The sequence below is a fragment of the Homo sapiens genome, chromosome 2 (genome assembly GCF_000001405.40).
Source record: "Homo sapiens chromosome 2, GRCh38.p14 Primary Assembly".
Lineage (NCBI taxonomy): Eukaryota > Metazoa > Chordata > Mammalia > Primates > Hominidae > Homo > Homo sapiens.
The window spans coordinates 58,653,765-58,680,537 of NC_000002.12; the positions used below are offsets into that span (position 1 = coordinate 58,653,765).

The following is a 26,773-nucleotide window of genomic DNA, read 5'->3' on the forward strand; positions in this document are numbered from 1 at the left end:
TTATAGACCAAACTTCTTAGCAAGTCTGGCTTTCATGATTTCACTCCGTGTATGGGGCTTGTACAAGTGGCTACTGAACACCGGTCAAGACGATTCACTTTTTATCACAAGATGGAAAACTTCCTTCAGTATGGTTCTATCTAGAGGTATCTGTTTTCTGTTACTGGTTAAATACTAGTGACATATAAGGTGGTAAGAATGCATTGAACATGTTAAGATAAATAGTTGAGGACTGTTTAAAAATCTGAAACTTGGGATTGTAATGAAAAAATACAAGTGGATCATTTCACAATAAACTCAACTTACTCATTTTTCTCCTTTACCTTCCACCTGTAACCCTAACTACAGAGATGAGAGAGGGAAAGAAATTGTGAAAAACCTAGAGAAATGCCTAAATAGCCTTACTATCTACCATAGTTAGCATTTATTTTCCCTTAAAGCAATTAATGGTTTAGTTATGTTTCTCAGCTGCAATTTAGAAGATAAGAGATAGGATATTTAGATTGTCATATAGAGGAAAGCATTGCTGTCAAATATGTTATTGAAGCTGGAAAAAAATGAAATTGAAACAGAACACCTGCTACTTTAACTCATTTAAAAAAAACCAAAATGTTCTTTACTTGCTGACTGGAAATATTGTATTTTCAGAGAAGAGAAAGTGCTAATCTAAATGGGATAAAATGTAATGATTCACTATGCAATGATACGAAATCAGAAATATTTTAAATTAGATATTTCAGTTTGTGGAGGGTTAGGTGGTTTTTATAAAAATCATTTTGCTCATCAGGTGGTGCATATTTCTCTCAAATTGCAGTAAAGAGAATAAAAATCGGCCTGTCATTGAAGATTTTTTTTTATTGACATCTTTAGCTTGTCTTCATGCCAGTAATTAAATTGCTAATTATGTGTTTCTGTTACTGTGGTCATGCTTTTATTACATAATTGCCTCAAGTTTAGCTCAAATCACTAACAATATTTATTTAACCTTTTTGTGCATTAGATAAATTTTAATATATAAAAGCTTTGGAACGAGTTCATTGACTCTGTTATGATTAGCAAAATCAAAAGGATTCTAACCTTTTTTATAGTTACATGAGTTGGTCATGTTTTCAGTGAGATTGCTTATAATTATTAATTCGAGCAATAGCAATCATTGAAGTAGAAGAGAAAAAATACAAAGAAAACTTTATAAAAACCTAGGGTATATTCCAGAGAAATAAAGTGATCTAGCTTGACATAATTGAAAATATAAAATTAATAATTTGATTTTTAATATATGTCCATGTTTTTCAAAAACTTATTTGATTAAGTTGTGGATAATTCATTTACCAAGCTGCGGCCATGCCAACCCCCGAACGCAGGTGTAATTTTTGTCAGTGTCTCAATGTATTCATAAATTTTTCTCATTTGTTTATTTTATGCAAACCATAAGAGACATTTTTCTCAGTGAAGATTGCCTCTTTATTTTATTTTGAAATATTTGTATATTTATTTCATTAAATGAGATAATGCTTTTTCTTATTAACATAATTTCCAGTACATTAAACATATTTCTCCACAGACAGAAGAGAGGAATCAAATTAAATGACAGCTAAATCACTTGCAGCAATTTCAGCTGTTAAAAGAAATAAGTGTCTCTGTTTTCTTTGTGATCACAAGATGTGCTGTAAAGGGAAATGAAATGCTAAAGAAAGAAAGGAAAACATAAAGAAATAATGACTGACTTATTGCAGTAATACCATTGAGAGAAGAAAAATTCACTACAAATAAAAGGAAAAATAATATAGTGGACTTGAAAGTTACCAAATTCATTTCTTATTGATGAGTTCAGTGGAAGCCTAATACTAAGTAAACTGATGAAAAAAAATCAATGCAATAAACTATGAATGATGAAAGTTGAAATAAATACTTTTCCTATGGAAGACCATTATTCTAAATGTCTTTAATTTTTTAATAATTCATGACTTCATGTTTATAAAAAAGGAGGCGTTATTGCTTGGTAGACTCAAAAATGCATGTACAAAGCATCTACTAGAATTCTGTATTTAGTAATAAGTCCAAATGATATTGGTGACCTTCTGATTTTTAGTATCATGTCCTGACTTTAGGTGCATTAGGGGGAAGCGAGCTAGAATTTTAAAAGCCATGCTGACAAAGGATGCTTGTACGTTTTTACAGCATACTTACTCTATTGAGGACAAACTGCTTTCCAAACAGATAATTAATCTTTGGATCATAGAAAGCAAAGTTCAGTGTATATATTATATATATGCATGTATACAGAATGCTTATGAAAATTCTGGGGGACAGTGATGGTAATTCTTGACAAAATCAACATTGCCACACACATGCACATGCATACATATGCGTGTGTGCATGTTTGTGTCAGTCAAGTTGTTAACGTGTTCAAGTCAGAGCATACAGGTTACCTGGATCTGAGTGTTTGCAGGTGGGCTTATCCACTTGTTTTCTCTTTTCACACATCATTAAAAAAAACTAGTTAATTTAATCAACACAATCAGAAGGCAATTAAGTAGAGAAAAAAAAATGATTCCAGCCATTTTTACTGAATTGCTTCTGACTGAATTAACCTTCTAATACAGTTGATCTTGTAGTATGCTCTTCTCAATGCCTGTCTCTTTCTTCTCTTCCTTTCCCCCAGTTCATCTACATCCTAACATTTCACTCTCCTTCTCTCCCTTTTGTCCTCTCGTTGGCTCCTAATTGGATTCTTCTTCTTTCCTTCAACATGTTAAGAAGCCTTTTCCACTGGCCGGTATTCCCATTCACTCTCCTGTCTCCCCTTCCAACACACATGTACCTTACCCGGCCCCAATGAAAAAAAAAGAAATGCTAAAGCTGATTTTTCTTTTTTTGACTTACAGACGTTTGAAACTATTGCTTTGCTGAAAACATCTGACTGCCAGGCTAGGATGTGACACTTAAGGTAATTGTGATTTTTTTTTTCCGCCTTTAGAGACCTCTTCATCTGAAAGGTTCTTGGGTCCCCACTTGGTGTAAAGTTTTGGCCATCTCTTGAACTGTTTCCTCCTCAGTATAAAGCCTTTGTGAAGGTGTGTGGGAGCTGCAAGGCAAGCAGTTTTCTGAGGAGTTGGGGGTAGGGATGTAATGTTAATGTTCAGGAATCCTTCTCTGTGCCCACTTTGGAAATACTTCCTCTTATCTTTCATTCAGGATGCAGGGGATAAGGCAAAAGTGCAGGCCACATGCAAGAGATTTTGAATTATGCATTAAGCTGATAATGCCCCAGAATGCAAGCTTATGTCAATAAATAACTAGGCTGGCAGGAGGAAGGCAGTCACCTTACCAGTGCGGAGGGTACCACATAGGGAGAGAACTAGAGGAAGACGAGGTGAAGGGTGAAAGGCGCTCACATCCTGTTAGCTTGCTCTGATGAAGAAGCAAGAAGAGTAAGTTAATATTGAAATTACTGTCTAATGCCTATCTGCTTTTAAATGGATTTAGCCAAGGTAACAAGACAATCTCTAAGGTGGGCCCTGTGTGTTCAAGGATGCATGTGTGGCGGGGTTAGCCCTTCTGTGGAGCTGTATGTAAAGAAATTCTGTCTGCAGAGAAATTCATGAATTCCTTAATGGGACCCATACATTCTTTAAAAGGGCAAGAATTTTGGTGGCAAAATTTGGCAAAATTCATAATGGGACACTCAAGGTTTTGTTTCACCAGGTATTCTTTTCTGATTATGCCGTAGAATAGCAGTAAAAGTTAAGCAAGTGGAAGAAGCAGGATTAAAAGAATGCCAAAAATTGTGTCCCTGGCACATGATACAGGACTACCCAATGCTGATGAGAAATGATTCTTTAATCTTTGTGTTATTTCTCTTGCCTTAGTAAAATGCATCAATAAACGTGACTATCTTCTGTGAGAAATGAACAGTGGTGCACACGCCAGCATATACCTGCACACACACACACACGATGTTTAAAAAAAAATTAGTCCTGTTTCTCAAGGAAATGGAAACTGTCTGGGTGTGTGGACCCTGGGAGATGGATACTTGAACCTTTATCTATTTTTTCCTTACCAAAAAGAAGAAGGAATTTCATATGCGTTTTACCATTTTCTTAGTTTTAGACAGCAATTTGCAGCCCCTGGTTATGCAATCTGAAGCTTTTGCTCAGATTCTCTTAGCAATGTGTGCATTTGCAAGGCCAGTTCTATAGGCCCACATGCATATACACACTGGCAAATTAAAAATGGACCTGGGAAAACACCCTTCTCCTAGGAGAGTCATATCAAGCAGTGTTTAAATTAAATAATTTGCAGAGTGTAGGGAATAAAGCTTTGTAGCAGTATCTGGAGGTTATCTTCCCTTGGGAAATTTCTGCCATTTAGTACAATCTGGTGCATGCCAATGAGACACACACTCATGCATACACACACTAGTAGATATATTTTATTTTACATCTAAATTATATTTATTTCTTTAGGTTATCTGCCATTTCATGTTCATGTTGAGGAGGAAAAAAAAAGAGACAAACTTCTTGTGAAGGGTTGAGGTCATTAAGATCCAAACAAAAGCAAAGAAAGGTTATTAGTGAGCAGAAATGAGGGAGGGCTGACTGTGGCGTAAAGCCAGTTACCCCACAGCTTCTGGGGGAGCATGGCTGTGATTGGGAGACTGATCAAGCTCAGGTCACTGATTTTGCTCCCAGCCCATTGACTGGTGGTAAAAGGGGAGCCATTGTTGTGATGAGATAATGTGAGTAGGTAAGCCACAACTAGCCGAAATTAGTTGATTTCTTGCTTCTTGTCTTCCTTAACCAATATCAAAGCCAAATTGCATGTTAAGGAGTTTGTCGGTTAGAACCTCATGCTATGTTTCTAGTTAATGCATTCCTCTATAGCCAAATGTATTCTTAGCGTAATCAGCATACCTGTCCACCTGTGGAGAGAATGAAGCCTGTCACATGTAAGGATGTTGAATGAAATGTTAGCAGGACAAGAGAGGGTTAGAGGGAGAGGGAGAGAGAGAACGCGCACAAACAGAAGAAGATATCTACCTCTGTACAGGTTATTTTGAAAGATCCTATTTATAAAAATTGGGATAGGCTCAAGTGAAAATAGTTATTTTTTCCATTTCCAAGATTATCTTTGTACCCTTTAGACTCCCACTTTTATCTTTTATGTAAGAAAATTCTTGCAAATTACTAGTAGCCGGTGTAGAAGCTGTGAGTTATAGTGCAACTCTCAGTGAATCCCGCATTCTGGCTCCCCCAATTCTTTGACAAAAATATACAGCTACTGGTGTATGTTAGTTTGCTTGGGCTGCCTTAAAAAATACCATAGACTAGGTGGCTTAAATGCAGAGATTTATTTTCTCACAGTTCTGAAGGCTGGAAGTCTGAAATCAAGGTGTTGGCATGGTTGGTTTCTTCTAAGGCCTCTTCCCTTTCTCTGCAGAGAACCACATTCTTGCTATGTTTCTCACATGGTCATTCCCCTTTATGCACAAATTTCCTCTTTTTCTAAGGATAGCAGTCACATTGGATTAGGGCCCATCTAAAGACCCCATTTTAACTTAATTAGCTCTTTAAAGCTCTTATCTCCAAATACTGTTACATTCTGAGGTACCGGGGCTTAGGCCTTCAACATATGAATTTCAGGGGAACGTAATTCAGACCATAACAACTAGACTTTCCAAGATAGTTGGTAGAGCTATAATTTTTAGATTTGTTTTTGCCTGTTTATCTAGAGATTTATTCTTCCCACTTTCCTTTCTTTTTCTGCATTTTTGTTAATACTGGACTGAAAGTAATTTGTTACAATGATTCTAGGTGGATGTGTTCTGTTGTTTTAAGAATGGTTTGGGGAAAGAAATAGAAAGCTTATTTAAGAAAACAAATCTTGCTTGATATTTTTTCTTTTAAATTCAAGCCGGCTCCATCATGTTCTCTGACCTTAGCAAGTTACTCAGCCACACTGTGCCTCCTCTTTCTCCTCTGTATACTGTGGATAATAAAAAGAAATTTTCGAAAGGTTGCTGGGAGGATTAATTGAGATAATACATGTAAAGTGTCTAGCATGGTCCCTGGATCACAGCAAGTGCTCCGTAAATAGTATTTATCCAATAACCATAATAACCACAGACACCTACAGAATTCTATGTTGTACACTGGTGCTGGACAAAATGTAATACCCTTTCTGAATTTCATTTGATTACAGACTTATTTCGTGCTTTTAGAAGTGGAGCTAGGAGCAGATTCCTTTTAAAAATTATTTTAAGTGGACTTTGACAGAGGCTTGGACTCACAAAGTGTAGATAAAGCACAGACAGGCTTTATTGTTATCTTCTGTTTCACCAGACCAAAAGAAAGATCTTTGGTTGATAAGCAGAGTTAGAAAAACAGAGAAGAGGGAGTGGCTGGGGTCTTCTGATACCTTGTGGGTCAGTAGGAACCCAGTTTCTTCTCTGGAGAATCTCAACCTGTGCAGCATGAGTAAACAGACCTGGCATGCGCCCTGTGGTCGTACGGAGGGACCAGTCACCAGGCCCTCTCTTTGTCCACGGGAGACAGTGGCTTTCTAGCCTTGGAGGCCCAAGCACATTGGACCACTGGATATTCAGAATTGGGATGTCAGACAGAGGTTACCCACAAGGCTTTCAAAATGTATAGTTAAGAACCAAACACATTCTTTGATGAAGCGAAACATTGAAAAGGCTCTATATACTGCAATTGACTTGTATCAACGAACATTTTTAAGACTCTCAGGACCAGGCGCAATGGCCCAGGCCCATACAGCACTTTGAGAGGCAGAGGCAGGAGAATCATGTGAACCCAGGAGTTCAAGATCAGCCTGAGCAACATGACGAGAAGCCATCTCTAGTTAAAAAAAAAAAAATTATATATATAGATATATAGATATATATATAGATAGCCAGGTGTGGTGGCGCACGCCTGTACTGACAGCTCCTCAGGAGGCTGAGGTGGGAGGATAGCTTGAGCCTGGGAGGTTGAGGCTGCAGTGAGCTATGATTGTATCACTGTACTCCGGTCTGGGCAACAGTGAGACCCTGTCTCAAAAAAAAAAAAAGACCCTCGGGACTTAACTACTTTAAAAATAGTCTGATGACCAAGAAAACAAAAGTATCTATTGTTTTAAAGTGGCATTTCCTTAAGGAGCCTTTGGCTCCATAAAATCCTGTGAAAATCTACATGAATACTCTGCCGTTGAATTTTGAGAGAAGTTAAGGAAGTAGCAGTATACTTTGTTTATTTTTTATTTTCCTTTTTGAGACAGGGTCTCACTCTGTCTTGAAAGCTGGAGTGCAGTTGGCGCAATCTCAGCTCACTGAAGCCTCAACCTCCCAGGCTCAAGCCATCCTCCCACATCATCCTTTCGAGTATCTGGGACTACAGGTGTGCACCACTGTGCCAGGCTAATTTTTGTATTTTTTTGTAGAGATGGGGTTTCGCCTTGTTGTCCAGGCTTATGCTTTGAATTGAATACAAAAAACAAGATGTTTGAGCTGTGTTAAAATAATAATGCTAATGATAAAATGCTGCTGTGTATTGGTATCTTCATGGGAGACACCATGCTAAACTTTTTTTTAATTTATTTTTTAGTTTTATTTATTTATTTTTTTAAGACAGGGTCTTGCTCTTTTGCGCAGGATGGAATGCAGTGATCATGGCTTCCTGGGCTAAGGGATACTCCTATCTAGGCTCTTAATATGTCTTAACTCATTCAGTATTTTCTAAAACCCAATAAGACAGTACGTTTTCTCACATTTAGGATGCACAATGAAGTAAAAAAGGATTGCCGGGTTTCAAACCCAGGCATTTGGCCTGCATTGCAATCTATGACGGTGACTGTTATACTTGAACAGGAACAAGAATCACTTGGAGGAGTTAAAAAAACCCATATTTTCATACTATACATAAAAATAAATTCCAGAGATATTCAAACTCTAAACTTTAAAAACTATAAAAATATAAACAGATAACATAGATGATTTTTTATAATTGTGAGTTGGGAAAGATCATTGTAAAGAACAGACAAAAACCTGTATGTTTACATTATATACAAATTAAACATCAAGTAGTGAGTTTTCAGAAAGTAATAAGAAGATAAATCACAGGACGGGAAAATGAGTGTAGGATATGAATGATATGAATGAACAATTAATAGAAGAAATAAGAATGACTAATAACCACATGAAATGAAGCAAAAAATGAAAATTTAAAATGAGATAGCCATTTTTAATACATTGGATTCGTAAAACTTTATGAAAAATATTTAGCATCCATGAGTTGTGAAGAAATGGGCCCTCTTATATTGTTTGTAGGTGAGAGTAGAAAATGATACAGCCTTTTGGAGTGGCAGTTTTTCATTATCTATTACAATTTAAAATGCACAGATCTTTGATACAGAAATTTCATTTCTAGGAATCAATACTGCAAAAACACTTGTGTGTAAATGAAGATAAAGTGTGAGAATCTCTTTGGAAACATTGCTCTCTTTTTTAGTAAAGATATCTAATAAGTAGGAAACATATTAAAAGCAAGGCAAAGGCTAAAATAATTATGATATAAATCATAATAAAATTCCATAATATAAACCATGAAATACTATATAACCATTACAAATAATAACAAAAATAGGTAGCTTTAAATAGATTTAGATATAAATCCGTATAATATGAAGTGAAAAGAAAACTCTGCCAGGTGCAGTAGCTGGCTGGGTGTGGTGGCTCAAGCCTATAATTTCAGCATTGTGGGAGGCCAAGGCAGGTGGATCACTTGAGCTCAGGAGTTCGAGTCCAGCCTGGGTAACATGACCAAACCCTGTCTCTACAAAAAATACAAAAATTTTCCAGGCATAGTGGCATGTGCCTGTAGTCCCAGCTACTTGAGGTGGGAGGATCGCTTAAACCTGGGAGGTTGAAGTTGCAGTGAGCCAAGATTGTGCCACTGCACTTCATCCTGGGTAACAAAGTGAAAACCTGTCTCAAAAACAAAACAAAACAAAATAGTATAGTAGTCTAATTTTTATTATGTAAAATATACAGACTTACAAATAAACCAATGAATACATAGAGCTACTATAAGGACCCATCTACTTTTAAAAGTAATTATCTCTGTGGTACAGCTATTGAGGGGATGGCAAGAGCATTCTTTTGTGTTTCTACGTTTAATGAAATGCAATGTATTAATCTTTTGCCATAAGCATATATTATGTCTTCATTTAAAATTTTTACAGTGACCCCCCAAAAAACATTACTGAAAATATTATTGACTTGAGAAATTTTGTATCAAGATATGCATGGATAGAAAGATGGATCTTGGACAGTGGCTTGTACATCATAGGTTTTCTTTCTGCTCTTTCATATTTTACTTACCAAATATTCTTGGGACTCAGGGATCTTCATATTAAGAAACTCCTGAGATAAGTCTGGGGGTTAGTTGGGTTTGAGTATATTGGCAAAGCTGACACATGTCCAAAGGATTTAAGGGGAACATGGACCTTAGAATTTGAATGTGCCTAGAAACAGTGATTTCAGTTAGATTTTGCTTGAAGGTAAATTTTAGAGAATATAATTGTTTCCTTTATATTTCATGAAGACTGATTCAGTACCCGTTTTTAACTCCCAGATATTTAGTCTCCTGTGATGATGCTATTACTTTGGTGGGTTTTTCACACTTGCTATATTTCCTACACCTCACGCTGCTGTTTATTTTAACTGTATATGGTCAGTGCACTCATTCCTAACACCATCACTTCCTAGTACACATTTAATTGTTTACAGAATAACCAGTGGGGTGGGTTTAGAAACCTCATGACTGATTCTCTGCTTCTTGTTTTCTTTTACCTTATTTTTCTTTTCTTATTGAGCTCTTAGAAAAGAGACATAATTACATTTCATATATGAGCACTTTCTTTTCCAGTATATATCCTTGGAAAGGAAGGGCCAGATATGTGTATTTTAAAAAGAACCTCAAATTAATCTACATCACTTGGAATAATCACGCCTGCTGCTATCATGTCTTTGGGTCCACTTCTCAATAAAACACTTATTTTTATATTTTCAGATCTATTGATATTTGCTTAGAATGCAATTTCCTCTTGTATGAACTGTGGAATAGGATCTATTTCCCTTGTCTGCTCAATAGTTCTATGCTGTCTCATTTTGCCTTCTGCACCTTAAATATTTCTTATGTTGTAGGTCAAATTATAGGTGAACTGTCATATCCCCTTATGTCTATGAAAGCAATATTCTTCGGAGAAAAATATAAAGTATACATTTGTAGCTTGTCTGTATCTTGAGAGTCTTCTTTCCATTCTATATTTTGGAAGCTCAATAAAGCTGGAGTTTCTAACCTTTGGGTCACAACATATACCCCTGATTAAGTTTCTCTGGCTTCAAAAGTAGCTACAAGAATGAGAATTGTTATAAAGGGGGGAAAGCTCTTCAATAATTAGGATTCATCTACAACTAGAGCATTTTATTAATTACACATTGTAATCACATGGATAGTCACAAAACCAATCGTGCAAGTCTGTATTTAGAGATTTGTAGACAGAAGACTTAACGTAAACATAGAAATGTTAAACCTACTCAACTGTAACCTGCAAAGAAGATAACAAGAAGGATTCTGTTCTCTGTATGATTTGTGAACAATGCTAAGTAAATATTCATCATTAATATATAATAACTGTTGCTTTTGGCAGTTCACTTTTCATTTAATTTGATAATGTGTCCAGTAAATGAAGTGGTACAGGCTACAGTGTTTTACCAACACAATTGCATATTTTCAATCATTGTTAAATGAAGGCAGCTCAAGGCAAAGCTTTAACCCCCACTAGTTTTGTGTGTGATAAAAAGAGAAGGCGCTATCAATCTTTATTGTCTGTCTTGCTTACTGTAATTGCATTCAATAGTCCGCTGATTCTGTTGTCTGTGCTAATGTCAGGAACAGAGGAGAGCCAGATGCTCAGACTTGATCATATGCATCCAGTGACCACTTTGATAAGTTGGCAGCAAGTCGCTGGGTTTGATGATAAATTGTTAACGCTATAGATTATGAACAGCTGAACACTGCAAGTGTACATGGAGGAAACTTCTTACCTTGTTTTAAATCTGGCATCATGATGCTAGCTAAAGGGCATGTCAATGTATTATTCAAATGCATCTTGCACTGGAAATGTGCCAATGACTCATTGTATCCCTATGAATAGTAAAAGCAACAACAACAACAACAAAAATCCACAGTGATTTGAACATGACATTAATGGTCCCAGGATTATGAAAAGCATTTTGAAATACTGTTTAATAGTTCTGATTATCTAATTCAACGAGAAGAAAGCTTCTGAGTTGTATTCCCATTTAATTCATATTAAATCATGTTCTTCCTGGTCATTTCTGTTATATTAGCCGATAATGAGGAAGTTTTTTAAAAACAAACCGATTTTTCCTTAGTTAAAACCCATGGCAGTTTGCTTGTGAAAGGACATATATTGGAGCTGGGAGGCAAGCATTGTGTTGACATTTTTGCCAAGGTTTTGTTTTATACAAATGCTGCTGCTGCTGAGAGAGACGTGACATAGGCCATTTGTACAGGGTATATAATAGGTCTTATTTCTACTGAGTCCATGTAGACATTTGTAAAAGTTCAGGGTTGTGGTTCTGAAGTCATTGGAAATCTATTAAAGTTGCTTTAAAAGGCTGACATAACCATGAACTGTATGACAGTTTCATTCTAGAGAATGCTAAGCTGTTGATCACATTTTTAATGGAAAGTTTTAAGTGCAGATGACGAATATTTCTTTATTATACAAGTAATTGCTCTTGAAGTCTCCAATCATTATATGGTTTGGTTTCCCTCAAATAAACCCTTTAAGAAATACTGAGCTTATGGATTGGGACAAAAAAGGTCTCTTATCTAAGTGATTTTTTTTTTGTTAGATAATCGAAATTTTGTAGTCTCTTGTGTGTTACTTTTTGCCTGTGCTGCCAGGAGACTCAAAACTGAATCATAATCACTTTTGTAGCTGAGTTTTCAGATATGCTTATCTTTTCTTTCATTTCTCCTTTTTTCTCAACTTGTTACTTTACCTTGTTTTTCTTGCTTCTTGCTTATTGGCAGGATGGATATGTAAGGAAAATGGATAGCAGAGTAAAGAAGGGAGAGAACAAACTTTACCATGACATTTTAAAGACAGAGCCCTGAGGTATTTAACCATGTCACAGAAATAGAAACCAAAGTCTGTAGTTATGACAAATGTGAAATCCTAGCCGACACTGAGAGTCACTTAAACCTCTCTTAGGGTCATTTCCTTATCTTAAAAAACTGGGCATAATAAAATTATTTAATTAATAAGATGTGGGTGAGGATTAAATTAATTAATTTCAAATAAACACATAATAAATGTTAGCAGCTATGATGATAAAAACTTTTTGTGTGAGCTCTGGAATGTAAAGATAGCATAAACGTATGACCCAAATGTTAGAGTTTACTTCCGATGGCAGCTGAAATTAAACTCAACCCTTAAAATAATTTCACCATGATTTGGAATACTACAAGTTAAATCCTGCTTTACGCAAGCAGATATATGAAAATCTTGGTTTACTCATTTGATTTTTTTGAGATGCACTCTTATTTTAGAAAATATCTTTAACTTTATAAAATTCTTCATTTTAGTGTTCTTTGAGGTATCAGGCTCTTCTGTAAGAATGAGTCATTAAAATTTAAATTTATACAAGATTTGCAAGAGCATATTGTTGGCCTAAAGTAAGATACAGCTCTCTTTCACTCAACACTTGAAGGAGTTCAACCCAGATTAGCACTCCCTCCTTCTGGATTTGTAGTATTATTGCTAATCTTTTGCTTTTTGTGCTACTCCTAGTTTTCTCAGCCTCAGTGGCTGCTCTTTCCAGTATTCTCCCCTTCCTATCCATCCTGCTCAGTTTCTACATTAGAATGCTCAGGGCCTTAGCTTGGGGTTCATTACTTGCTCTACATACACACTCCCCCCTTGGTGACTTCATCCAGTCCCAAGGCTTTACACGCCATCTATAGACTGATGGCTGCCAAATTTCTGTCTCCAATGTGACCCCTCTTATGGAACTTCAAATTCTCACTCTAAATGTGTAATAAGCACTTAAAACTTAACTTGATTTTCCCCTCCGGCCATCTCATTCCCTAGTCATCTGTACTTCAAGAAGTGTTACCACCATGTAAAGTTGCCCAAGCCAAAAACTTAGATATAATTCTTTATTTCTCTGTCTTCACCCACCACACCAATCCATTGGAAAGTCCTGCTGAGACTATCTCTTCAACATATCTAACCTGTCCACTCTATCTGTCTTTTCTTTCCCTACCTTAGCCAATGTGCCAAGTCACCTGCCACTCTCACCTGTGCCACTGCAATAGCCTCCTGGTCTTTCTGTTTCTCTTCTTGCTTCCTTATGATCCAAGCTCTATATGGTACAAAAAGGGACATTTTGAAAACAGAAATATATCATGGTACCACCTTCTTCCTAAATCCCTCCAATGGCTTTCCATCACGCGTAGGATAAAGGACAGAGTTCCTGTCATTGTGTGAGGCCCTACTTTTCCAAGTCATCTCTTATGTACCCTCACTTCCTGCATTTCTGACACACCAACATTGCTGTGACTCAGGCCTTTGCACAGATGTTTAATCTACTTGGATCAGCTTTTCCAAGAATTTTACAGGACTGGCTGCTTCTTGTCATTGAGGTTTCAGTAAATGCCATCTCATCTAGGATTTCCCGAAACATTCTCCACTATCTTTTATATCACTGTATTTTGTTTTCCTCAAAGTTTATCATTGTCTAATTGCTTTCTTATTGATTGATTTATTTTTCTCTATTTCACTGCTAACATGTGAGCTTCATGAGAACAGAAACATTTTCATCTTGTTTACCCCTGAGCCTTCTGTTCTGCACATTGGTTAAGACTGTAGGCCCTGAAATCAGATTCACTAAGTTTGAGTGCTACCACTGACACCTATGGCTGTGTCATTTCACATCAGTTGTTTCACCCTGGGCGACTCAGTTTTCCCAAGTGAAAATGGAGAAAATATTAGTGTCTACTCATACTATTGTGGGGAATAAAGGATCATACATGTAAAACATTTATGACGAGTCTGACATTCAATAGACTTTAGCTATTTTCCTCCTCACTTAGAATTAAATTTCTATATTTGGTAGCATAGTAGATATTCTATATAAAGGTACACAATGATATTTTTATGTCTTGATGAATATTTTTGAATTTTATATATTTTAATATTGATTTTGGAAAAGATGTCATAATACATATTTTGACTTCAGAAAAATAATTAGGCTGAGTGTGATGGCTCACACATGAAATCTCAGCACTTTGGCAGGCTGAGGCAGGAGGACTGCTTGAGCCTAAGAGTTTGACACCAGCCTGGACAACAGAGGGAGACCCCATCTTTACAAAAAAAAAATTAGCCAGGGATGGTGGTGCATGCCTGTTTTCCCAGCTACTCAGGAGGCTAAGATGGGAGGATCACTTGAGCCCAGGAGGTTGAGGCTGCAGTGAGCCTTGGTGGTGCCACTGCACTCCAGCCTGGGCAACAGAGCAAGACCCTGTCTTAAAAGAAAAAGAGAAGAAGAAGATTAGTTAATAATTTGCCAAATTAGCTCATTCATAATTAATGGCAAAATCATTTTTTTATAATAGAATTTTGAAGGTTGATGATTTTTTTTTAAATTGAGACAGAGGCTCACTCTGTCACCCAGGCTGGAGTGCCATGGTACGATCTCGGCTCACTGCAACCTCCACCTCTCGGGTTCAAATGATTCTCATGCCTTAGCCTCCAGAGAAGCTGAGATTACAGGTGTGCCCCACCATGCCTGGCTAAATTTTTTGTATTTTTAGTAGAGATGGGGTTTAGTCATGTTGGACAGGCTGGTCTTGAACTCCTGGCCTCAAGTGATCTGCCCCTCCTCTGCCTCTCAAAGTGATAGAATTATAGGCATTAGCCATTAGCCACTACACCTGGCCTGAAGGTTGATAATTATATTTAACAATATAAGTATGCCTTGCCATTTGGAAAAATTAGAACGTACAGTCAAGCAAAATGAAAAAATAAAAGTAATCTGTAATTCCTGATATTTTTAGGTATATTTAAACTTCCGGACTCCTCTGTGTACTGTAATGTATATTTTGTTTGACACTAGTTTCTGTGTTAGCCTGAAACAAAGGCTTGTAGAAGATGGTTTATCTGGGAAGCAATCCCAGGGATTTCATTAATATTGCTGTTGTAAAGTGCATTGCTTTTTTTAAATTGATTATTTTTCAATGTTTGCTAAGTATATGTTAGAATTACAATCGATTTTTAAAATTGTATCTGAAAATCTTGTTAAACTTAGTAGCTTTTTTGTAGAATCTTTAGAATTTTCTATGTATACAATTAAGTTTTCTGAATAAAGATTATTTTACTCATTCCTTTCTAATTTTAGCCTTTTTATTTCCTTTTCTTGTCTTATTGCACTATAGAAGACCTCCAGTAAAATGAAATGGTGAGAGTAGAAACTTCTGTCTTATTTCCAATTTCGGAGTATGTATTTCCAATACATACTATTAAATATGATGTTAGTTGTGGTTTTTTTTGTTGATACCCTTCATCAGATTGAGATAGTTCTCTCTCTAGTTTTCTAAGAGTTTTTTTTAATTATTATCATGAATGGATGTTACATTTTGTCATTTTATCATTTTATCCACTGCATATGATATGGGGCAGAGGAACCCCAAAATTGAGGCTTAGCCTGAGAAGGGTTCATGGTTTCACCCAGGAAGGAATTCAGGGGTGAGCCGGAGGTGTTAGATGGCAACTTTGTATTTTGTTTTGTTTTGTTTGGAGATGGAGTCTGGCTCTGTCATCCATGCTGGAGTGCAGTGACACAATCTCAGCTCACTGCAACCTCTGCCTCTGGGGTTCAAGTGATCCGTCCACCTTAGCCTCCCAACTGGGACTATAGGTGTGCGCCACCACACCTAACTAATTTTTTTGTATTTTTAGTAAAGATAGGTTTCACCGTGTTGGCTAGGCTGGTCTTGAACTCCTGACCTCAAGTGATCTCCCTGCCTCAGCCTCCCAAAATGCTGGGATTACAGGTGTGAGCCAGCATACCTGGCCTAGGCAGCAACTTTTATTAAAGCAGCAGTGTACAGTAGCAGCAGAGTTGCTGCTCCTTGCGGAGCAGGGCTATCCCATAGGGGGCATGCCCAGAGTAGCAGCTCAGAGGCAGTCGGCCGTGTATTTTTAGCCACTTTTAATTACATGCAAATTAAGGGGCAGATTATGCAGAAATTTCTAGGAAAAGCGTGGTAACTTCTGCGTTGTTGGGTCATTGCCGTGGAAAGTGGTAGTAACTTCTGGGTGTTGCCATGACAATGGTAAACTGACATGGCACACTCACAGGCATGTCTTATGGTAAACTGCTTCCACACTATCCCTGTTTTAGCTAGTCCTCAATTTGGTCCAGTGTCTGGGCACAACCTCCAGGGTCAATTCCTACCTCCCACCTCACATCTACTGGGAAGATCATATGGCTTTTCCTGTTCATTCTGTTAATATGTTGCATTTTATTGATTTATTTTCAGTTATGAAATCAGCCTTAGATATATTAGGTATGATGTATTATTATAACCTTGATTATGATGTATTAGCTTTTTTATGTAGTTTAGATTCAATTTGCTAATATTTTGTTAGAGATACTTGTGTATATATATCCACAGTAGTATCAGTCTGTAATTTTTTTGTTTTTGTTTTGCTTTTGTTTTTTTCCTGAACAGTATCATTGCCAGGTTTTGGTGTTCGAGTTATGTTAGCTCCTAAAATAAGTTGAGAAATGAGCCTTCCTTCTCTATTTTTAGAAAGAGTTTGTGTAAGAGTTATAATTTCTTTTTAAAATGTTGATAGAGCTCACCAGTAAAACCAGCCAGATCTGGAGTTTTCTTTGTGGAACAGATTTAAATGATAATTTAAATGTAATTACTTGATAAGTGGCTATGCAGATTTTCTTTTTCTTCCATATCACTTTGGCAAGTTTTATTTTATAAGGAATTTATTCATTTCCCTAAATTGTTGAATTTATGCACATAAATTTGTAAATAATATTTTCTTAATATCTTTTTTATTATCTCTAGTGTCTATAGTGATATATCCCCACTTTTGTTTCTGATATTGGTATTTTGTGTACTCTCTCTTTTTAAAATTAGTTTTGAAACAGGTTCATCAATTTTATTAATCTTTTAAAAGTCAAATTTTGGCCCTGTTAATTTTTTCTACTGTTTGTTTTTGAACTTACTGATCATGCTTTTATCCTTATTATTTCCTTCTTTCTACTTTGGTTTATTTTTTCTTTTTATGTATTCTTAAGATAGAAACTTAGATCACTGATTTTATATCTTTAATGTTCTTTTGTAATATAAACATATAAAACTATACATTCCTCTTCAATTACTTCCATAGCTGTATCCCACAATTATTGATATGCTGAGTTGTTATTCAGTTTGAATATTTTCTAAGTTCTCTTTATCAATTCTTTTTTTGATCTGCAGATCAAATAGGTCTACTATTTAATTTTCAAATATTTGGTGATTTTCTAACTACCTTATTTTTATTGATTCCAGATTTCAATTCTATTATCATCAGAAAACAGGTACTATAAGATTTCAAACCTTCAAATGTATTTAGATTCATCTATGGTCCACTGTGTACTTAAAAGCATTGTATTCTAAGTTATTGGGTGTGCTATATTATAAGTATCAATGAGGTCAATTCTGGAAATATTCTATGTATCTATTATATTTTTTCTATTTGTTCTATAAGTTTTGGAGAAAGGAGTGTCAAAATCTATACTTAAGACCATATATTTATCTGTATTTTTCTTTATTTCTGTTGATGTTTGTTTTTAGCATTTTGGAGCTCTGTTATTATATACTCACACATTATGGTTGTCATGTCTTTCTGACAATTTGAGCCTTTGTTTATTATAAAATGTCCCTTTTTATTTCCGGTAATACTCAGTGACATGAAGTCTAATTTGTCTGATATTATTATAGCAGCATCAGCTTTCTTATACTTACTATTTGCCTTACACAGCTTTTCAATCCATTTACTTTTATGCTATTATCACATTTGAAGTATATCTAGTATACATGTTTGTGTTTGCCTTGTTTATTATTCATGCTATTTCGGCCTTTTAATTTTTTGTGTAATTAGAATATGGTTGGGTTTAAGTCTAGAATGTGCTATTTGTTTTCTATTTATCCCATTGGCTTTTAGTTCTTTTGTTCACCTTTCTTGCCTTCTTTTGGGTTAATTTAGTATTTAAAAATTCCAATTTAATTTTCCTATTAGCTTTTTTTCCTTCAAATTATTTTTTAAAGTTGCTTTAGGGATTAAAATATGTAACAGCATCTGGCACTCAAAAATTTCAACTTCTTCTTCAGCACTTAAAATAATGCTGCTCATTGGAAGAAAATAGATAAATACTTAACGAATTAATGACCAAATTCATGATGTGATTTTTGTCTTTTGATAAATGCTTTTGACTTTTATGTATATCTAATACTGATTTGTGAAAAAAGACCTTTTACACCGTTTGGACCTGAAAAGAATTATTAAAATACTCATAACATTATTTCAAATGACCTGTTAACAATCATATTGCCATTTAAATTTCTAAAATTGATATATGAAGCCTAGATACGTTAGTCAATAAATGCAAGCAAATTACCCTACTCATTCTAAATGGTGAAGTTACTATTTTCTTTTATAGAATGTTGAATGGCTGGTAACTTTCTCATGACATAAGTAATACTTATTGATTTGGTTTCCATCAACTACTTCAATCTTATGAAGTCCTGAAAGGCAAATCCTGTTTTTAATTGTGTCCACTAACTCTTAGTTGTGTCTGAACTCTTGATTTTTTAAATGTGTTTTGTAATTGTAAACTAACAGCTGTCATCCTTAGCATGGTACTGTCTTGGGAATCCTGTGCTATCTGTATTAAGAGTGTATGTCTACAGAATATTTTTGCATTATCTTCTACCAGATGTCCTGAGGTGTATCCTAATCTGTGGGCAGTTATTATGCCAGTTTCATGACTTAGGAATTCCCAAATCATAGGACTAAAATTAAACCACATTTTCTTCACCTGCCCTCTGATCATACATTTCCAGAGATTGTTTTTTCCTCTTCTATTCCAACTCAGAAGGAGGGAACCTTTTGTGTCATCTTTTTGTACCAGTTGGTGGATTTTTTGAGTCCACTCAGGATGTAGTCCCATGAAGGTCCTGATTTTCATGATGATGTAGAAGGAGGGATTGTCTCAGTTCCCATCTGTTTCTTCTGAAGCTTGAGGCCCTTTATCTTATCACTGGGTCTGTGTTCAAAATGAAGCTTTGGAATTACCAAGAAAGATCTTTATGCACACCTCCACACAACCCATCCTGGGCAGTGCATATATTTTTTGCTCTGGTTTTCAGGTTTTTCTTCAGTTCTGGCCTTGGGGGTTTACTTAACTTTCTTGCCCACTTGAACATGTATTAATAGGATGTTTCCACTGCACCTGTAGTCCCAGCTACTTGGGAAGCTGAGAGAGGAAGATCACTTGAGCTCAGGAGTTTGAATCGAGCCTGGGCAATGTAGTGAGACCTCACTTATAACATTTTTATTTATTTTTTTATTTTAAGACAAGGTCTCACTCTATTGCCCAGCCTGGAATGCAGCGGTACAATCTTGGCTTACTGCACCCTCAACCTACCAGGCTCAGGTGATCCTCCCATCAGGCTCGGTTGATCCTCCCACCTCAGCCTCCTGAGTAGCTGGGATTATAGGCATGCATGCACCACCCAGATAAATTTTGTATTTTTAGTAGAGACAGGGTTTTGCCATGTCACCCAGGCTAGTCTTGAACTCCTGGGTTCAAGTGATCCACCTTCTGCAGCTTTCCAAAGTGCTGGGATTACAGGTGTGAGCCACCACGGCTGATTTCTCTCTCTCTATATATATGTATTTTTAAAAATTAGTCAGTTATGGTGGCATGTACCTCTATTCCTGGCTACTCAGGAGGCTGAGGTGGGAGGACTGCTCGAGCCCAGGAGTTTGAGAATACAGTGAGCAATGACTCTGCCACTGTATCCCTGTCTGGGCAACTGAGTGAGACACAGTTTCTAAAGTAAAACTTCCTAATCTAAATTATTTCATATAAATAAGCAAAAATGCTGTGCATGCTAACTAGTGTCATATCTCTTTGCATTTCACTAAAATCGCATTATCTTGGTGTGATAACAATGGTTATGTGATGATCAGAAACTCTGCCTCTTCATGGTATCTGAGACTAATGAGACATCCTTGTGCCAAATACTGATGAGGGAATTTCAACTATTCCCATTATTCATAATGGTGAGAATTTAACATAATTTCTTTCTCAATATTTCCCCAATTTTCTCAATACTTTGTTTAGTAATTCATCCCCAAATTTGTAATTGTTGTTTTATTGTATTACTAAACATTTATTTGTACCACATTCTGTTTCTGTTCCATTGTCCAGTCCATAAATTTTTGCGTTAAAAATCCACATTTCATACAAAGTAAACACGAAACTTCTGGGAAAAGTGAAATAAAAGTAGACATTGTTTATGTAAATATTTGGACTCACTGTATTGTAGCTTTCTGGACCTAAAACTGTGAGCTAGATATCCTGATTGCCAAAATTGTCTTGGGATCTTGGATGTCTTTGCTTCCATTCTAGAGCCAAATAAGATTGTATTTTGTAATTATATTATTGTGTCATGTGTCATAGCTGAAATCCTAATAGCCACACCTATGAAGAATGGAAACTGTTTACATCTTAAAAGATTTTATTCAAGAACCAGAAGGCAAAATAATGGAGTACCTTTATGTAAAATCAACCTTGATGTAAACATCTGGATTTACTTAGCAATTGTTTCATAGAACTGAAGTATAATTAAAAGGCTAATTTGCTAGTTTGCTAGTCATTTCTCTCAACTGCAGACATAATCATAGAAATACAGGTTTTCCCGTTTGGAAAGAGTGTTAAAGACTGACCCCCTTTTTGAAGGTTAAATCCCCTCTATAATATTTCTGCCAAGTATTATTCAAATCTGGAATTTGGTGTTTGTCTCATAGCTGTGTAACCCGGTGATGTAAGCCCTCTTGACTCTTGGAGACCAGTTGCGTGTCCTGGGATAGTCAGTAACCTTCTGCTTGTGGTATGTTTCTTTGTCTCACTTGTTCTGAATCTTCATGCTCCTGAACGTAATTTGGATGTCTCATGTGGCACAGGACAGTTGGGATACAATACCCAGTTCTTTACTAGTTTTCACACTAAAAAAAAGACTACCAGCATCAAGCAGTTAATAAGTTTGTAGTTTGTGTGTATGCGTGTGTGTGTGTGTGTGTGTGTGTATGTGTGTGCAAGCACGTGTGTGTTGTGGGAGGGGTAAGGAGTAACGGAGGAGAAGGTCATTATGCTGTCTATGGGGACTTTCACCAATTTCTTTTCTGCTCTCTAAAATTCACCTCATTCACTTGAGGTTGAGGCAAGTGTCATTCAGAAAACTTCCATTCCTGTTTACTGTAATACCTGTCTCTAGTCTATTCTAATTTTATGAAAGATTTACTTTCAACCAAGATTGTACTCACTGTAAAGGAGAGTCTGGTGGATATTTCTTTTCTCATCACAGATAAAAATTATCTTTAAAGTACACCTACCTACAAATTCTGTACAATAGTACCAATTTGAAATACATAGCTTGCTAACTTGAATATCTTATACATTTGTGGTAAGAAGTGGTGAAGACATTTAAATTATAATAATCCTGGAGATGTGAAGGGTTATCCAGGATGGAGGAACTTTGCGTAGGTATAACCATTGCAGGGAGGCCTACTTGACAGAGGAAATAACTTGCTTGCGGGTTAGGGAGTGATAAACTATTGTAAACTAAAGACTCTTACATTCATTTAAATAGAAAATCAATACCTACAAACATGTTGCCAGATATTTGTTATTTATTACCTTCCTTAGTAAAGGTATAAGACTAATCTGTAATTAGCACATTTACATTCTAAATGGAAAGCTCTCAAAGAACTTACAAACATTAAATGAGCAACTACTGTAAGGTTAAACACTGTGCTGCCCCACATGGCTGCTCTTGTGGTTTTAAAAGTGCCTAGATGACAAATCACATTCTAAAATAGTATATTTCTCTCTGCACATTCTTCTAGCACAGAAAGAACACACTAACATCTTACCAAAAGTTTAAATTTGACTAATTCTGAATTAATGTAAACACATCATTAACTCTTATTACCATGATGATTATTTTTATTCAGGGTTATGCAGAATTATTTGCACTTGTCCCTTAACTAAAGGAGACATTTACTTTTCTTTCATTTCTTAACAGAATGGAGAAATGCATCTATCCTTTCTGTTGGTTTTCAAATGGTGTTGACAAAAATATCTTTGATCTTACTTAAGAACAGAATGTGTTGGCCAGTTAAATAGCAATGATAACTAAGAGCAAACTCTCCCCAGTGTTTCGTATAGCTCAGTGTGTCTAAGGGAATTGTGTGGCTATTTTACTGCTGTTTCTCGACAGGTTTTTCATAGTTCTTTTTATAGCTAATATATTGTTCTGGAGCTCCATTCTTTCTAAATACTGGGGAAAAATGAGAAATCCAGGGCTACGGCCATGCCTGTGGCAGTTAAGTATTGATGATGAAATTGGTGAGGCATTAAGGAAGTGTGAGTTGGTAAGCAGGTGATACATTTAAAAGGGAAAACAAAATGGGAAGAATGGTCTGTTGGATGTTGCAAAAATTACAGAAATATCTTTAGCTTTATGCACCCTTATGTGCATAATGGTAGCAGCGTTGGTGGTTGGGGCATTGGAGTATTTTTACACTGTTTGGGATGTTGTCCTAAGTGAATTGCCTTAATATTTTCCATAGAGGCAGGAATCTGAATAAATACTATATATGTTCACATATGTATCCTTGTATATGTTTTTGATTGGAAACAATCCTGTCATAAAATACTTGCCTACTCTGCTAAATTAATATGAGTGTATTTATAGTCATGGGAATGATTTAATGTTGTTTGATAATCTTCTGTTTTATTTATACTGAAAAATTAAGTAAGAAGCAGAGAAAAACGAAAAAGTGGTTTGTTAAATTCATTTTACCTACTGTTCTTTTTTCTTTTCTTGTATTTTCTTCAAATTAATCAATTAAAATGCACAGATGTTCAATTAAAACTATAAAAATTTTCCATGGCTACAGCTGTTTTGAAGCTGCATTGTTGAAAATTTAACATATCTAGTAATGATTCCCTCTCAGAAGAAATTAAATTAATGACTTTGCTAGATTATTTTCCATTTGATAAATTAAACAAAATTAGAAAAAAAACTGAGACTTACTCTGCCTGCTACCTTTATTAATTAGCATGATAGACTAGCAGATATTAATATGAAAAGGCAACAAAATGGAAAATGTTTCTTATTTTCCAAGTGAAATACCTTCAGGACTGCAGTTTATCTTATCGGCAAATGGTTACATGGTATAAATTATTAAAATTTTACCTGTAAATAGCAGACAAATGACAAATTTCATAATCCCACATAATAGAAATGGCAGAGATGTGATTATGTGGAGCTGATATAAAAATTTTTTTCACATTTTTGTCCACCTTGTGCATGCTAGTCAGTGACCCTTAAATAATAAGTAGAGAAACAGGATCTTTTTTCTCAGTCATGTTGCTTTATCTCCAGGAAAATTTGATTTTTTTTCTCATTTTCAATTTATTCTTTAATTTTTAAAGATCTTTCTAGTCATTTTTTTTCTTATGCCAAAACTAGTAGATGGTCATTGCATTAGGGTTCTCCAGTACCAAAAGGGGTGTGTGTGTGTGTGTGTGTGTGTGTGTGTGTGTGTGTGTGTGTGTATCTAGAGAGAGATTTATTTTAAGGAATTGGCTCTCATGATTGTGGGAGCTGGCAATTCTGAAATTTGTAGGATAGATTGGCAGCCTAGAAACTCAGGCAGGAATTGATGTCGTATTGAGTCCAAAGTCTGCAGGGCAGGACGAGCTGTCTAGAAACTCAGGCAGAGTCTGTATGCTGCAGTCTTGAAACAGAAAGAACGACATTCTTTCCTTTGAGACTTTCAACTGATTGGATGAGGCCCACCCACATTATAGAGGGAAATCTGCCTTCCTTAAAATCTACCAATTATAAATGTTAATAAATGTTAATCACAACTAAAAAATTCCTTCACAGCAACATCTAGACTGGCTTCTTATGAGTTTAAAATGTTTTAAACTTCATTTGCTTATGGATCCCACAGATGACAGCCAGCTTTTACCTGCACATGAGGGGTAGCACTGTCAGCATGGTAGGGTTGCCACAGGCAGGCACCGGGCAGGTGATCAGGGCACACATTTACCATTCGTTGTGACAGTAGGATAGGCACCATATGCTGGGCACCATAGCCTAGCTAAGTTGACACATAAAATTAACCATCACACTAATTAAGAAAATTTTAGAAAATAAAAACTAACTAAAAACACATGTAATAAAGCCCTTTCAAATGATCTCTGCTAAATGTTTCAGTGTATATCCCTAGAGTCTTCCTCTTATGTTTATGTGTCTTTTCTTTTTCCTAAGTTAAGAATAAAGTGTTTATTCTATTTCATAAGTATTTATTTAAGAGTATATACACCTCAATTCATTGAAATTATTTATTTTTCAATCATATTTAATAACTTCAGTATAACCGGTTGAAGGGCTTGTTGGATCCTTAGGTTTTTAATTTTACGTGGACATTATATCTTTTTACATGTATCTTTTGAATATATTACTACATGTGCATTTGCTAGTTAAAAATATGTACATTTTAAAACTTTTTGCATGCATGGCTAAATTGCCTTCTAGAAATGTACCAGTTTACATTCCCAATATCAGTATTCCAGAGGCCAGTTTCCTTCCCTACCTTTCAATATTAGGTGTTAGAATAAAAATATTCCAATCCAAAAGATAAAAAAGACCTTGCATTATTGTTTTAATTTGAATTTCTTTTATTTCTAATGGTGTTACATGAGTTTCTTATGTTTATTTATATTAGTAGTTCTTTGTAAATTGTCTACTTTGTCCAGTTTCTATGAAGACGCTTGCTGTTTTCGTATTATAAAAACTGTATGCCGTATGTATATACACACACTGTTATATATGGAATACATATATAACTATATGTATATTATAGTTATATATGACATATATATGTATGTGTGTATATATGTGTGTATAGATATATGCACACACAGTTGTATATGTGTGTGTGTATATATATATACGCACAGTTATATCTATATATGAGAAATGTATGGTATATATATGTGTGTGTATATATATGCCATACATTTATATATATGTGTATATACATACATGGCATATATATGTATATATATATGAAGTTTATCAAACTGAAGTAAAAAACTCATCCATTTTTTCTGTTATGTTATACTTTTGACGTCATGCATTTCAAATTTTTTCTGTCCCAGGATGGAACACCCTCTAGTGCCATTGTAGTTTATTTTCTTTTTGTAAGCCCTGTAATTAAATTTGATGTGTGGTGTGAGGTAGGGATTATTTGTCAGTTTAATATTTTGTTTAAACTACAATTTTTCTATCTACTTCCATACCTGAGGGAGTTGGCATGCAACAGACTGAAAATGCTAGAAAGAAGCAACTTTACAGGTTCATATCTGATTGACCCAATAAAGATCACAGTGTTTCTGCACCATTATTATTCTGTCTAAAAACAGAATTAAAGGTAATGGCAGTTGCCTCCAGCATCCAGGCATATGAATGCATGTGTATGTTTATGTGGATGTGTGTAGATATATGTGAGCATGAAAGAGAGTATGCCTATAAGATGATAATGAGGAATCTGAGAATCATTTTTAATATTAACTATGATCTTATTAGCTACAATTTTTTCAAGACTTGAGAATTTTTCTTTGTTGACAATACTTGCATCTTTAATCAGTAATCATGCTAGATCAAAAAGTACTAGACTACAGTATTTTAACTGCAGCAGTATGTATTTATGTACAAGGGAAGAATATATCCATGGACAAGATACTGCCTCTAATTCATGGACATATTCTGCCACTGAGCAAATCTTGTTACCAGTGACTATGTTGACTTGGAAAGGTTATGACACACATCCCTAAGCACAGTGCTGTTTGTGACCCTATTGTAATTTTTACTATATTTATGTACCCCCATAGGAAATGTCTTCCATTTATTTTTTACAAAATGATAAGTTATTGGGTATAAGAAAGTGCAGTGACTAAGATAAATCTTACCCTATATAGTCTTATTTTTTTCCACTCATCTTAAGAATCCTCATCACGCTCATCATCAATTTTTCATCACTAAATATGGGACAAGAAGCAATGACCTGAAATTTCAAGTGAGCCATATTAAGAATTATGATTTTCATAACTGCCAGAAGTAAACAGGCTTAGTATTTTGTCAATATGTTTTATATATTTACCAATTCGTTTTAGATTGCTGTCTTTTTTTTTTTTTTGAGATTTTTTTTTTCAGAGTTATCTTGAAGTTTATTTTTAGTGTGGCAGAATTCCTTATTAATATTTGTGGGTTTTCATTATGCATTGCACTGTTTTACACTTGAAATTTTT

General features: G+C 35.4%; 1 long non-coding RNA gene across 1 annotated transcript in view; it reads left to right on the forward strand.

Annotated features, from left to right (window-relative positions):
- The window catches only part of LINC01122 (long intergenic non-protein coding RNA 1122), a 543,014-nt gene that overhangs the window by 133,012 nt on the left and 383,229 nt on the right, over nt 1-26,773 (forward strand). The window contains exon 2 of the long non-coding RNA NR_033873.1: nt 2,886-2,947. This is a non-coding gene — a long non-coding RNA (long intergenic non-protein coding RNA 1122). The remainder of the gene's footprint in view (nt 1-2,885; nt 2,948-26,773) is intronic.